Source organism: Homo sapiens, chromosome 8 (assembly GCF_000001405.40).
Source record: "Homo sapiens chromosome 8, GRCh38.p14 Primary Assembly".
Taxonomy (NCBI): Eukaryota; Metazoa; Chordata; class Mammalia; order Primates; family Hominidae; genus Homo; species Homo sapiens.
Window position 1 is genome coordinate 78757561 of NC_000008.11, and position 16168 is coordinate 78773728.

Below are 16168 nucleotides of genomic sequence, written 5' to 3' on the forward strand. Positions count from 1 at the left end.
AGTGCTCCAGTGTTGAGTCCATATATATTTACAATTGTTATATCCTGTTAATGAATTGATCCCTTCATCATTACATACTAGACCTCTTTATCTCTTGTTATGTTCTTTGACTTTAAGTCTACTTTGTCCGATATAAGTATAGCTACTCCTGCAAAGTTTTGGCTTTCATATGCATGGGATATGGTTTCCGTCACTTCACTTTCAGTCTATTTGTGTCTGATATGGTTTGGCTGTGTCCTCACCCAAATCTCATCTTGAATTGTAGCTCCCATAATTCCCATGTGTTGTGGGAGGGACCCAGTAGGAGGTAATTGACTCATGATTGTGGGTCTTTCCCATGCTGTTCTTGTGATAGTGAATAAGTCTCATGAGATCTCATGGTTTTATAAATGAGAATTTCCTTATACAAGTTCTATTGCCAGCCCTCATGTAAGATATCCCTTTGTTCTTCCCTTGTTTTACACCATGACTGTGAGACCTTCCCAGACATGTGGAACTGTGAGTCCATTTAACCTCTTTCCTTTATAAGTTACCCAGTCTCAGGTATGTCTTTATTAGCAGCATGAGGACAGACTAATATAGTGTCTTTACCCATGATGTGAATTTCTTGTTGGCAGCATATAATTGGGTCTTTTGTGTTTTCTTTTCTACCCATTCAGCCAGTCTATACTTTATAATTGTAGAATTTAAACCATTTACATTCAATGTTGTTAATAATAGGTGAGAACTTACTACTGTCATTTTGATAGCTGTTTTCTGAATGTTCTGTATATCCTTTGTTTCTCTTTCCTCTTTTAATATTTATCTTTACAGTTTGGTCATTTTCTGTAGTGACAAGCTTTGATTTCTTTCTTGCTTTCATTAGTGTATCTGCTCTACCCGTGAGTTTAATTCTTTCTTGTGCTTTCTAAATAGTAGACATCATCCTTTTACTTATAGATGTTGTACTCCCTGAAGCATTTATTGTATGGTTGATCTAGTAGTGATGAATTTCCTTCAGTTTTTACTTGTCTGAAAAAGATGTTATTTCTCCATCCTTTTTAAAGGATAGCTTTCCTGGGCATAGTATTCTTCATTGGCATTTTTCTCTCAGCACTTTGAATATAGTTTCTCATGCTCTCCTGGCCTGCAAGATTTTTACTGAGTAATAGGCTGCTAGTCTGATGGGATTTCCCCCAACATGTGACTTGATGTTTTTCTCTTGCTATTTTTAAAATTCTCCCTCTGTCTTCAACCTTTCACAGTGTAACTTTAATGTGCCTTGGAGAACACTTATATTTTTATTGAATCTACTAGTAGATATTTTAGCTTTCTATATCTAGATGTCTATATCCTTCACAAGAAGGAAGAATTTTTCAGATATTATTTCAATAAATAGGTTGTCTATGGCATTTCCATTTTCTTATTCTTATGGAACTTATAAAATTCAAATATTTGTTTGCTTTATGGTGTCCTATATGTCATTAGGCTTTCTTCATTCTCTTTTATTCTTTTATTCCCCCCCCCACCTTTTTTTTTAATCTGGCTTTGTTATTTTAAAAGACCAAGTTCAAAAATTCTTCTGCTTGATTTAGTCTATTGTTGAACTCTTGATTGTATATATATATTTTAATTTCATCCACTGAATTATTTATTTCCAGGATTTCTGCTGGGTTCTTTTTTTTTTTTAGCTTTAAACAAAACTCACATTTTATTTAGATTGAAATAAACTATACAAAATTGATTTTCTTCACCAAAAATAACAGCAATATTTTCCATATTTTTCTAGATAAACCACAACACTTATTTTGTAGGTTTTCCAGGTTTTGCTTATAAATCAAGATGAGGCAGTAGATAAGAGTCATGGAAAAAAGACAGAAAAAAAAAACCAGACAAATCAGTTGTCAGTATCCATGGCCTCTGATTCTGTCTCAACCATGAAACAGAAGTGTTCAACATATACCTGCTAAAAAGCTTAGGAAGATGTAGGCTCCACAAAGGAATGTAAACAGCAATGAGATGTGGAACAACAGCAGGCTTTTCCATTCAAACTTTGTCATTTGTTTCTTTAAGTTTGAGAAAGACAAAATCTACACTGAAATCCTTGTTTGGTGAGCTCACAAGCTTTTCTCTGGTAATTTCTTGCAACTGTCCAGTATAGATTTTTAACATACTTAAAACTCCTATTAGTCAAAGGTCAATTGTGGGCTTAACTATAACATTTTATAAAATGTATTCCTTCCTCCCACACCTCTTCAAAATATATTTTTTCAAAGAATTCATAACACCCAACAAGTAGAGATCCACAGTGATAATAAATGCTATGTCTAAAATGACTTAACTGAAACAATTCCAGAGTGCCGTCAACAGAGATCACGCAAAAGGAAACATGGAACTTTCAACGTTCTCTTCTGGAAGAACAGGTAGGTCTTCAAAGCTTGAGAGTTCAAACAGGGGCCATTTAAACAGGTAGATTATCAATGGCTAATGTATTCAATGGAGTCCTATAGGCAAAGATATTTAGTGATTAAGTGGCCTACATACACCTTACGGCTTTTACTTCCAAATATCAAATATAAGAAAGCCTGTTTTTAAAAGTCTCTTAGGTATTTTCCACAGTTTCGGAATTATCTGTAGGAAGCTCTGACTTACTTGTATAGAGTTTAATATATGTGTCCACCATTAAATCCAGGTCGTGTTTTATATCAAAATTTATGTTAAGCAAAGCCAAGTTACTTGACCTTTGGTCTGTCAAAGTGTTCCTCAAATATGCTTTAAGACGCTTTCATCCATTTTCATACCGCTCATTCTCAACCTTCATCACAGAAGAATACACAGGACCTTCAGCAATGCATACACATTAGGAAAAAACTTGATGTCAGGCAGTTGGAGGGCTTCATAGATGGTGGACGGAAGCTCTATATCTTTCCCCCTGTGTTTCCATTTGATTCCCCAACAATGAAGCTCAGCTGACAGCGTGTCAGGATTGGGTAAGTCACTTCTATACATGTCAGCATGGTGTTCCTCCAAAGTATTGAATTTGAGTTGTCCCATGACTGAGGGTACCAGAGATAAGCATTTAAGAGCTTTGAGGTGCTGTTCTGAGAATATATCTTTAAGTTCCTGAATAATGTGCTCCACTGTTGGGACACTTAGGGTTTCTTTATAGTAACTCTCAAAGGTTAGCTGAGATTCCAAGTTACCCTGGTGAGCTCTGCGGAATTTCCCAGGGAGTTTCATTTGAATATCAAGTTTGGTTGCCAAATTTGTGGCTTCCTCAAACCAAAATTCATTATAAACTTCAATATTTTCCATCACTTCGTTGAGTGAATGCAGTACTGCAGTCAAGCTACCGGCTGCAAAGAAGACATCAGAGGTTTGCCCCTGGAGGTTTTTCCCAAAGGCTCTTGTAAAAGATAGGACATTTTTAAGAACAACAATAGTAACAATGAAATCAAAATCTGTTACTGCACTGCAGAGTACAAATGCTCGGCCAGCTATACAGTTATTCCATCTAATATTTGTGTCACTATTTATACCATCTAAACATAAAACAAGTGCTTGCAGGAGTTCCACTAAAATTTCAAAAGCATCATGCCTCCCTGTCCACTGAGAATGGCAGATTTCCTTCAGTTCTTTACCCCTTTCTTTACTGTTCTGAAAAAGAACAGAAATTACGTTGTCAAGTTCTAAAAGCAGTTGTGGTGATCGATGGAAAAAAGAACAAACTTCCTCGATTGTTCCTAATGCAACAGATACTCCCATAACAGGTACTGATTTTGCCAACCACATATTTAAGGCACAGAAAGAGCAGAGTGTGTAGATAGCTTGGGGATATTTCTCTAAAAGTCTAGAAGCAACAACTTTCATTTTGGAAGAAAATCCACTAGAGACAATGTAAGCCTGGCCACGACAATACTCCATATTTAATCCCCACTTCTCAGTTATCATAGTGTGAAATTTCACAGCCAAAATTTCTGCATCAGCTTCATAAGGCAGGAAGCCTATAAATTCCTCTCTTAGGTTATGAGATTCATCAACAAACCTCACCAACACAGGTAGGTGCTCTTCCCCTGCTATGTCCACTACATCGTCAGTGATAATGGAAAAGACGTGTGAGTCTCTCACTTCCCTGAGAGTTTCTTCTCGAATACAGCTCTCACAGATCTCTAGCATCTGCCTCTGCTGTGTTTTTGAACAAAACAACGTGTTAACTGCTGTTGTCTCAAACCGCTTTCTCAGAACCTCTTCACCAGAATTTATCCGACACTCCAGTAGTGCCTGAAAGTTATCTGGAGTAAAGAGACCTTCTGGGATTTCATCAGCCTCATGTCCGTCCAGAGGTATGTTTTGCCTTCCCATCAGAATCAAGATTTCAAGTAGATATTTGAGGTATTCTTTGTTTTCCTTCTCTTCAAGGGTTAGAGGTAAAATGTCCTCATCTTGCCCTTCACCCTCTTCTTCGCTGGGGTTCTGAGCATTGCTATTGTTGGTTTCTTTATGTTTTTGTTCCTGCTCAGAAGTTTCATCAATTTTTTTCTGTTTCAGTGTCCTGATTTCATCTTCACTCAGTTCTTTTATTCGTTTTCTGTGTCTACTATGTGGGTTGTTCAAATGACTGTTAAGATCAAATATTGTTGGTATTGCATTATCTCGAAGAACTGTCCTATAAGGACCAGTTCTACAGATCATAGAGGTCTCAAAATGTTTGGCACATAATCGATAATGTTTATTTAGCTGATCAGGTGTTTTATCTTCTAAGTCTGCTCTCCTACAGTTCTCCACCCACTTCTGGCATCTGGCAGGGTCCCGCGGGAAGCTGAAGAAGGCCAAGTCAAGTCGGACTGCGTGCTCTTCCGCGTGCAGTTGGCGGCAGCGCAGAAGTTCGGCATCGTCGCCCGCCCGCCGGCCGGTCCAGCCCTCCCCTCCCCGCCTCCTCAGGGCAGTCCGCCCGCCCGTCGGGGCCGGGGAGGGGAGCCAGGCCGGCCGGCCGGCTCGGCAGGGCCGACGCGCGGGGGAGGGGCGGGCGGGCTAGAAGCCGCCGGGTTCTTTTTTATATCTGTCTCTCTTTCTTGAAATTCTCATTGAAGACATGAATTGCCTTCCCAATGCATTTTTTTTTTTCTATTGTGTCCTCTTGTATTTGTATCTGTGTCCTCTTGTATCTCGCTGCATTTTCTTAAGAACATTATTTTGAATTCTTTTTCAGGCTTTTTAACATATTTACATTTCTTTGGGATATTTTACTGAAGAAGTATTGTATTCCTTCAGAGGTGTCATTTTTTTCTTGAATTTTCATATTTCTCATGTCCTTACCTTATCTGTGCATCTATTTTAACAGTTTCTCTTTTAATTTCATGGATTGGCTTCTTTCATAGAGAAAGACTTTTCCTGTAGCTGTAATTATAGTATTGTTTGGGGAAGATGTTTTGGCTTTAATTCTGGGCTAGCACAGTAGTGTCGTCTCTGTATGTTCTATTTGGATGCGATCAATGTCAGCATTGTCTGAGAGTTCTTCATTGGCTTAGGCTCTGGTTGTTAGTGAAAATTATGGTGAGGTGCACCTGTCCTCATGCCACCAGATGCTGCACACAAGCACTGTCAGTGGTGAGTAGAATTGGCCAATATGCAGCCCCCTGGACAGCATTTGTTGGTGCCAGTGATGGCACATGGGGTGGTTAATCTTCACGCCCCCAGCCTGTTTTTCTTATTCTTAATTGATATAAAAGTTAATACCTTCAAATAATGATAGCAACCATGTATTCAATTATGCTTATATGTTTATTTATAAGTGAAATGAATGATAGCAGTGATAAAAGGTTAGGAGGGAGAAATTAGTAATATTTTATTACCATAAATTACTTGTACCTCCTATAAAGTGGTATAATGTTATTTGGAAGTAGATTTAGATTGGTATTAAGTGAAAATTGTTCATATAAAAATGATACAGAGACATCACTTTAGATCCAATAGACATTAAACAGATAATAAACAAATATTATGAGCAACTCTAAATCCACAAATTTGATAACCTATATGAAATGCATCAATTACTCAAAAGGCACAATCTACCAAAACTCACACAAAAAGAAATAGAAACTCTGAATAGGACTATATCTATTCAAGAAAATAAATAAAAAATGATGTTACAAAACAAAAAATACTAATCCCAGATGAGTTTATTGCTGAATTCTATCAAATAGTTAAGGACAATATTGTATCAATGCTCCACACTATCTGACAGTGTGTGTAAGCAGGAGCAGGAGGAATACTTCTCAACTCATTCTATAAGGCCAGCATTACCCTAATATCAAAAATCAAAGACACTGCAAGAAAATAAAACTATAGACAAGTACCTCTCATGAACATAGATTCAAAAATCCTCCACATAAAACTGTATACTTTTATACATTATTGGATTCAATTTGCTATTGGGGATAGCACTTATCATCTACACCACAATTGAGTGGATTTAATTTCAGGTATGCAAAGGTGTTTTAACATTGGAATATTGTTTAATCTAATCCATCACATCAATAGGCCAATGAAGAAAAATCACACAATCATATCAATAGATGCAGAAAAAGCATTTGACAACATTCAACACCCATTCATGATAAAAAATTTTAACACATTAGGAATAGAGAGGGACTTCCTCAACTTAAAGGACATCTACAAAAGTCCTATAGCTAATATCATACTTAATAATAAGAAATTTGTAGGTTTCCTGATAATAAAAAAAAAGCTATCTCCCTTCACTTCAGCTTTCAACATCTTACTGCAAAACTTAGCTATTGCAGTAAGACAAAAAAGGAAATAAAATGTATACAGATTGGTAAGAACAAAATAATACAGTCTTTGTTTGCAGATGATATAATTGTCTATGTAGAAAATTTTTTTAAATTGGTAAAAAAGTCTCTGATAACTAATAAGCAATTATATAAAAGTTGCAGGATACAAGAGAAATAAGTCAATCACTTTTCTATGTACCATCAATGAACAAGTGAAATTTGAAATTAAAAACCCATTGCCACTTTATGTTAGCAGCCCTAAAAATAAAATGCTTAAGTGTAAATCTAAAAAAAAATGTCCAAAATACATATGAGGAAAACTACAAAACTCTGATAAATAATATCAAAAAAAGAAAAAAATAAATGGAGAGATATTCCAGGTCATGGGTAGAAAGACTCAATATTGTCATGATGTCAGTTCTTTCCAAATGAATGGACAGACTCAATGCAATTCCAATCAGAATCCCAGGAAGTTATTTTGTAGAAATTGACAAATTGGTTCTAAAGTTTATGTGAAGAGGAAAAAGACCCAGGAGAGTAAATTCAATATTGAAAGAAAAGAGCAAAGTTAGAGGACTGACACCACTCAATTTCAAAACCTACCATAAACTTACAGTAATCAAGACACTATAGCATTAGTGAAAAAACAGACAAATAGATCAATGGACCAGAATATGAGCTGAGAAATCGACTCACCTAAGTATAATCCATTGATTTTTGACAAACGGGCAAAGGCAATAAAATGGAGCAGTCTCTTTTCAACAAATGGTGCTAAGACAACTGGACATTCACATCCACACCCCTAACATTAATCTAGACACAGACCTTGAACCTTTCACAAAAATTAGCTCAAAATGGATCATAGACTTCAATGTAAAATGCAAGATTATAAAAATCTTAGAGAATGACATAGGAGAAATTCTTGATGAACTTGGGCATTGAGATGACATTTTAAATAAAATACCAAAGGCATGATCTATGAAAGAGGTGATTGATAAGCTGAGCTCCATTAAAATTCAGAACTTCTGCTTTGCAAAAAGCAGCATCAGGAGAATGAGATTACAAGCCACAGACTGGAAAAAATATTTACAAAAGACATATCTGGTAAAATAATATTATCCAAAATATTATACAGAACTCTTAAAAATCTAAAATAAGACAATTTACAACCCAATAAAAAATTGGCAAAAAACCTGAATAAGCACCTCAGCAAAGAAGATACACAGATAGCAAATAAGCATATGAAACGTTATTCAACAGCATATGCCATCAGGGAAATGCAAATTAAAACAACAATGAGATACCATGACACCCTATTAGAATGGCCAAAACCCAAAACACTGACCACAGTAAATGCTGGCAAGGATGTAAAGCAAAAAGAATTCTCATTCATTGCTGATGGGAAGGTAAACAGTACAGCCACTTTGAAAGACAGTTTGGTGGTCTTCTACAAAACTAAACAATCTCTTACGACATAATGCAGCAATCCTTGCTATATACCCAAAGAATTTGAAAATTTGTGGCCACACAAAACCCCCATGTGAATAATTATAGCAGCTTTATTCATAATGACCAAAACTTGGAAGGAATGAATATGTCCTTCAGTAGGTGAATGAATAAGTAAACTGTGGTGCTTCCAGACAATGGAATATTTTTTCAGTTCTAAAATGAAATGAGCTATAAAGCAACAAGAAAACATGGAAGGATCTTAAATGCATATTATTAAGTGAAAGAAGCCAAACTGAAAAAGGCTATATACAGTTTGAGTGCAACTATGTAACATTCTGGAAAAGGTAAAACTAGAGACAGTAAAAAGATTCGTGGTTTGTCAAGATTTAAGAGGGAGCAAGTGGATGAATAGGAGAGGCACAAAGAATGAACAGTGAAGTTGTTAGGAGAGTGAAACTATTCTGTAATATAATTTGGATTGAAGACATTTGACAAAACCCATAGTATGTACAACACCAAGAGTGAATCTTAATCTAAACTATAGACTTTGGGTGACAATGATGTGTAGAGTCATTGATCATAATAAATGTACCACTGTGATAGCAACTGTTGATAGTGGGGAAATTTGTCTGTGGGCACAAGGAGTATATGAGACCTCTATACTTTCAGCTCAGCATCCTATGCCTATGCGTGTTAGGTCTGCAGGCATAGAAAATACACATATATACATGCATATATAGGGTTTTATGAGGGTATTTTCCTTTTTCATTTTGTTAAAAAATAGGATCACAGTGTATACATTACACTTTGATTTTTGTATCATTCTCACTTTATATCATGACTGTCATTCTAGGTCAAACATACTAGAACAATTGTTTTATAACTGCGTAATATTCCACATTAAGTGTGTTCCACAAATTATTCAATACTTATTGATGAATAGTCAAATATTTGCTCCTACCAACAATTCTGTAACAGACATCTTTGTATGTGTATCTGTATGTGTTTGTTATCTCATTTTATATTAATGCTTGCATTTCTGTAGACTTAGTTCCCAAAAGTGAGATTTGCTGAATAAAATGGTATATGTATTTTTAAAATAATTTGTGCTTCTACCAGCATATAAAGGAGGCCATTCTGTTACATTCTTATTTGGATCAGATGTCATCAGTCTTTACCATTTTTACCAATCCTGAGAAGTAAAAAATTATGCCTCATTATAGCTTACATTTGCATTTTTGTAACTACTTGAAGATGAACATCATTTCATGTTAATTAACAATTTGCATCTTCTTTTCTATGAATAGTCTGTTCTTATCCACTTTCTTATAAGTTTTTTGTCTTTTAATGATCAGTTGATAATTTTATATAAGGGATTAAAAAAATTTTTGATATTTTACTTTAGGTTTATCTCTTATATAGTGCATACAGTGTGAGTGAGTGTGTGTGTGTGTCTGTGTTTATCTCTTATATAGTGCATACAGTGTGAACAAGTGAGTGTGTGTGTGTGAGTGTGAACAATCAGGTTAATTTTGGAGTTTAACATAATTTATATTTATTGTCAGATAGTCATTCTATTTCTTTTTGTTCCTTTTCCTTTATTTTATAATTTTGGTATAATTTTGGTATTTAAGTGACTACATTGTATTTTCCTTTTTCTTTGTAATTTGAAAGACTATAATTCTTTTAAGAGTGTTTTCCAATAATTATTAAAATTATATTCTCTACCAATCTAATTAGTATACATATCCACTAATCATTCTAATGAAAGGGAGGGATTTATCATCTTTTTAGCTTTCTCAGTCCTCCCATAACCACGCACTTTTTATATTCTTAGGGCTTAGGTGAAACAAGTTATTTTTGTGTTTTAATATTTACAATAGCTATCTAGAAATCACCAAATACTGCAGCATTTAATAGTGATTGTTTTATATCACCATTTCTCTATTATTGATATTTATTAATATCTTGTTCAAATGGAGTAATCTTTTTTATTTTATTATTATTATACTTTAAGTTTTAGGGTACATGTGCACAATGTGCAGGTTAGTTACATAAGTATACATGTGCCATGCTGGTGTGCTGCACCCATTAACTCATCATTTAGCATTTGGTATATCTCCTAAAGCTATCCCTCCCCCTCCCCCCACCTCACAACAGTCCCCAGAGTGTGATGTTCCCCTTCCTGTGTCCCTGTGTTCTCATTGTTCAATTCCCACCTATGAGTGAGAATATGCGGTGTTTGGCTTTTTGTTCTTGTGATAGTTTACTGAGAATGATGATTTCCAATTTCATCCACGTCCCTACAAAGGACATGAACTCATCCTTTTGTATGGCTGCATAGTATTCCATGGTGTATATGTGCCACATTTTCTTAATCCAGTCTATCATTGACGGACATTTGGGTTGGTTCCAAGTCTTTGCTATTGTGAATAGTGCCACAATAAACATACGTGTGCATGTGTCTTTATAGCAGCATGATTTATAGTTCTTTGGGTATATACCCAGTAATGGGATGGCTGGGTAAAATGGTATTTCTAGTTCTAGATCCCTGAGGAATCGCCACACTGACTTCCACAATGGTTGAACTAGTTTACAGTCCCACCAACAGTGTAAAAGTGTTCCTATTTCTCCACATCCTCTCCAGCACCTGTTGTTTCCTGACTTTTTAATGATTGCCATTCTAACTGGTGTGAGATGGTATCTCATTGTGGTTTTGATTTGCATTTCTCTGATGGCCAGTGATGGTGAGCATTTTTTCATGTGTTTTTTGGCTGCATAAATGTCTTCTTTTGAGAAGTGTCTGTTCATGTCCTTTGCCCACTTTTTGATGGGGGTGTTTGTTTTTTTCTTGTAAATTTGTTTGAGTTCATTGTAGATTCTGGATATTAGCCCTTTGTCAGATGAGTAGGTTGCGAAAATTTTCTCCCATTTTGTATGTTGCCTGTTCACTCTGATGGTAGTTTCTTTTGCTGTGCAGAAGCTCTTTAGTTTAATTAGATCCCATTTGTCACTGGCAAACCGAATCCAGCAGCACGTCAAGAAGCTTATCCACCTTGATCAAGTGGGCTTCATCCCTGGGATGCAAGGCTGGTTCAATATACGCAAATCAATAAATGTAATCCAGCATATAAACAGAACCAAAGACAAAAACCACATGATTATCTCAATAGATGCAGAAAAGGCCTTTGACAAAATTCAACAACCTTCATGCTAAAAACTCTCAATAACTTAGGTATTGATGGGACGTATCTCAAAATCATAAGAGCTATCTATGACAAACCCACAGCCAATATCATACTGAATGGGCAAAAACTGGAAGCATTCCCTTTGAAAACTGGCACAAGACAGGGATGCCCTCTCTCACCACTCCTATTCAACACAGTGTTGGAAGTTCTGGCCAGGGCAATTAGGCAGGAGAAGGAAATAAAGGGTATTCAATTAGGAAAAGAGGAAGTCAAATTGTCCCTGTTTGCAGATGACATGATTGTATATCTAGAAAACCCCATTGTCTCAGCCCAAAATCTCCTTAAGCTGATAGGCAACTTCAGCAAAGTCTCAGGATACAAAATCAATGTACAAAAATCACAAGCATTTTTATACACCAATAACAGACAAACAGAGAGCCAAATCATGAGTGAACTCCCATTCACAATTGCTTCAAAGAGAATAAAATACCTAGGAATCCAACTTACAAGGGACGTGAAGGACCTCTTCAAGGAGAACTACAAATCACTGCTCAATGAAATAAAAGAGGATACAAACAAATGGAAGAACAATCCATGCTCATGGGTAGGAAGAATCAATATCATGAAAATGGCCATACTGCCCAAGGTAATTTATAGATTCAATGCCATCCCCATCAAGCTACCAATGACTTTCTTCACAGAATTGGAAAAAACTACTTTTAAGTTCATATGGAACCAAAAAAGAGCCCACATCGCCAAGTCAAACCTAAGCCAAAAGAACAAAGCTGGAGGCATCACACTACCTGACTTCAAACTATACTACAAGGCTACAGTAACCAAAACAACATGATACTGGTACCAAAACAGAGATATAGACCAATGGAACAGAACAGAGGCCTCAGAAATAATGCCACACATCTACAACAATCTGATCTTTGACAAACCTGAGAAAAACAAGCAATGGGGAAAGGATTCCCTATTTAATAAATGGTGCTGGGAAAACTGGCTAGCCATATGTAGAAAGCTGAAACTGGATCCCTTCCTTACACCTGATACAAAAAATAATTCAAGATGGATTAAAGACTTAAATGTTAGGCCTAAAACCATAAAAACCCTAGAAGAAAACCTAGGCTTTACCATTCAGGACATAGGCATGGGCAAGAGCTTCATGTCTAAAACACCAAAAGCAGTGGCAACAAAAGCCAAATGGACTAATCTTAAGGTCAGGTTTTTATTGAATAAAGAAGCAGTACCCTTGCTGGCCTATCTGTGTCTTTATTATTCTTGGTACATTCAATAAAATTTGCCTGGGTCTAAGACTGTGAACCCACAGTAACAAAACTTAGTAGTTATCACAAAATTCAGTAGAGCTTGGTCAATTGGAGCTAAACATTGGTAAAAAAATAGAGGCTAACCTAATTGTATCCTTTTGTCGACATGTTTCCCCTCTCTTACTGGAAGGATGCTTCCTTGAAAAAATTCACCTTGATATATCCTAGTGTTTGTCTCTTACCCTTGAGTCATAATCAACAAGTTTAAGATTTTAATACAGAAATATATCTCTCTTTTATTCTGAACTTTTGCTTCTGTTTTGATGGGCTATTTTCTCTTCAGAAACACTTATTATTTATAGATTAGCTCTCTGCTCTGTCTATGGTATCAATCATCTTCTCTTAATTATATATACATATGCATACACAGACCAATATGCAAAGACACGCACACACACACACATACACACGCACACGCACACAAGTGAGATAGGTAGGAAGATAGTATGTAGACAGATACACAAATTATTTCCTTTTGCTTTATAGGAGATCTTTACAGTTTTGTCTATCCAGTGATTATATAATAAAATCACTCTTCTTTTTTTATACACACATTATTATAATTTAAGCCTTTAAGTTCCTATCTGATGGAGATAAACTCCTCTGAAAGCACCATGTAATTTCTGAAAATTCCCATAATGTTATCTAATGTGTGTTCTGTAATAAACTCTTCAGGTTCTTCTCCTTGGTCTCCACAACTTGCTGTCATAGAAATGACGAACTTCATGAAATCACCACTTTCCTAGGTAAAGCTACTTCTCTAGTGGGAATCACTAATGTTCCCACTCCATTTGTGGAGAGGGGACAGATCTTATTATGTCAGAAAGTGTTTTCCTAGCTGTTTCCTGGCTGTTGGAGCTCCAAAACCTCCCAACGCAATAGACATTGTGGTTTTCATTGCATATCATTCCTATTTCTCTCTCTCCATTATTTAGCAGTAATTTTTTTAATGAAAGTTAATACCACTTCCAGCTCTGGCTTGAGTTTTGATTGGTCTAAGACTTAGATACTAAGTAAATAAAGGTTATCCCATCTCTCTGACCAAAGCAACTTGCTCAATTAAACAAGGTCTAAGGCAGTTAAGACCTGGGTCTTCCGCTGACATAAGGATTTTTTCATAGATAATCCAATCAGAGTACATCTAAGAACTTAGTTAATTATAGGCAAAGGAATTATCATTCTGCTGGATATGGAAGAATAAAGAAACCCTGGTGGCTACTGGTAAGCCACAACATGAAGATTAATGCCACATGGAGAAACGCAGAGTCAAAAAATTGCAAAGAAATTAAGTTGAAATTCTAAGCCACAGTTGAAAGCATTCAACTGGGGTCTTTTCAGTTATACAGGCCATTAAATAACTCTTTAATGTTTAAGTCCATTTATGTTCAGTTTTCTACTAATTATACATGAAAGCATACTGACACAAATACTTACACATGCTGAGGAAGCACACATTCTTCAGCCTGGAGGATTCAAAAACTAATACCCTGTGCCAGGCCGCTCTAAAAACTGCCCCCCTTTCTGTTGCAGCCACTGCTACAAATGAAAGGCTTGCTCCTGCTGTACCTTCACATAGTTAGGGGAATACAATCATAACATTGGAACAGCTTTAGTCCTCTCTTAACTGAGATTTTTAAAGTAAGTCATTTCTAGCCCCAAAGAGGAGAGGAAGTGCCTTCTTCTCCTGTGGGAAAACAATCAGTTATATTTCCTATTCCAGGAAACTTTCTTCCTAGAATAATGGACAGTGCAAGCAATATCTAACAACTGTCACTATCATTACACTCCACAATCCCAAAGAAACCAGATTCACAAAAACACTAAGTGGAAAAACTAATGATTGGCAGGGCTAGCATGCAAATACTGGTTTGCCTGGTTACAAAGCCCATGCTTTTTCTATTACCCGAATTTGTCATATAAGTAATGTGAGCTTGATTCAAAATTTTCAATCAACAGAATTTAATAGAAGAGTTGACAATATAAGTGCTAGCAAAATTCAAGACAACATATTATTTTCTGAATCCTAAGCCCTGACCACATGACATAGCCTGTAATACATTTTGTTTGCTTAGTCATTTACATGTCTACTTTAAAAAAAATATTGAATGTATATGCATATTCAGATTTTATGCATAAAATATAGAATGATACCTTCCTTAATAGTGTTCAAGATAAAGTGCAACAGTAAGACTACTTTTGACTTGCGTTATGAATAAAGTAGAACCTGAACTTGACCTTAAATGGCACAGTAAGTCCTCATCTAACATCACGGATAGGTTCTTGGAAACTGCGACTTTAAGTAAACTGTTGTACAAAGAAACCAATTTTACCGTAGGTTAATTGATATAAAAAAGAGTTAAGATCCTGTGGCATATTTCTCATCACAAAAACATCGCCAAATTTCTAAATGAAGACCCCAAACATTTCTAATATTAAACACTGAATTAAATATGAGCTACACATACATTTAAGAAAGATTAACAAAAACAAGATAATTACCCATGTTTTTGTAAATCAGTGAGTGTCGATGGTCATAGTGGTGGTGGATTAAGTCAAGAAATAAGTGTTTGCAAAGCTAAAACTGTCAGGAGCACTTCCACCACACAGTTAAAAAAGAATCACAAACAAGTAAGGCTGACTCACAGCTGGATGAGCACCTTCGTCTTGCATCATTTATTGTTGTGTATTTGTATAATGACCATTTACTTAACAAATTTTTATTTGACAATAATTTACATTGATTGATTTGTTCATTTTCCAAACTGCTTATTCTAGTTCAGGGTCACTTTCCAAACTGCTTATTCTAGTTCAGGTGGCTGGAGTCTATCTCAGCAGCTCAGATTACAAAGCACGGACCAGTCCTGGATAGGACACCCTCGATCACAGGGTGCATTCACACACACCTACACTCAGACTAGGACCATGTCGACATACCCATTCACCCAGTGGGCACGTCTTTGGGATGTGGGAGGAAACCAAAGTACCCAGAGAAAACCCACACAGACACGGGGAGAATGTGCTAACTCTACACAGACAGTGGTCCAGGGCCAGAAATGGACTTTTTTCTCATCAATGTCATAACGAACGGTATTGAACAAAGGATGTTATTCAATTCCTGCTGTCTTTAAATTTGGGTGCGGGAAGATTTGTGGAGCAAGACAGGGGAAGTAGAAAATTCCACAATGAGAAAACAGCAAAGGCACTGAGGTACAAAAATGTGGAGCATATTTTGGAAACAGTAAGTAATCCAATTTGGTTGTGGTGCTGGGCGTGTAAGGGGCAATACAGAGTGGCAAGTAGGCTAGAAATGTAAAGAACAGATTTTCCTTCTCCAATGCCCACATAAGGAATTAGTCCTGCAATAGCCAGTGAGTGGTAACCTAAGGAAAGTTGTTGAGCAGCGATATGGCATGATCTGAGCCTTGGTTTG

General features: G+C 36.2%; 1 protein-coding gene and 1 pseudogene across 6 annotated transcripts in view; both read right to left on the reverse strand.

Moving 5' to 3' along the window:
* IL7 (interleukin 7) overlaps positions 1-16168 on the reverse strand; it is a 130420-nt gene that overhangs the window by 82517 nt on the left and 31735 nt on the right. The gene's annotated exons all lie outside the window — the stretch shown is intronic.
* THAP12P7 (THAP domain containing 12 pseudogene 7) lies at positions 1785-5021 on the reverse strand (annotated as a pseudogene).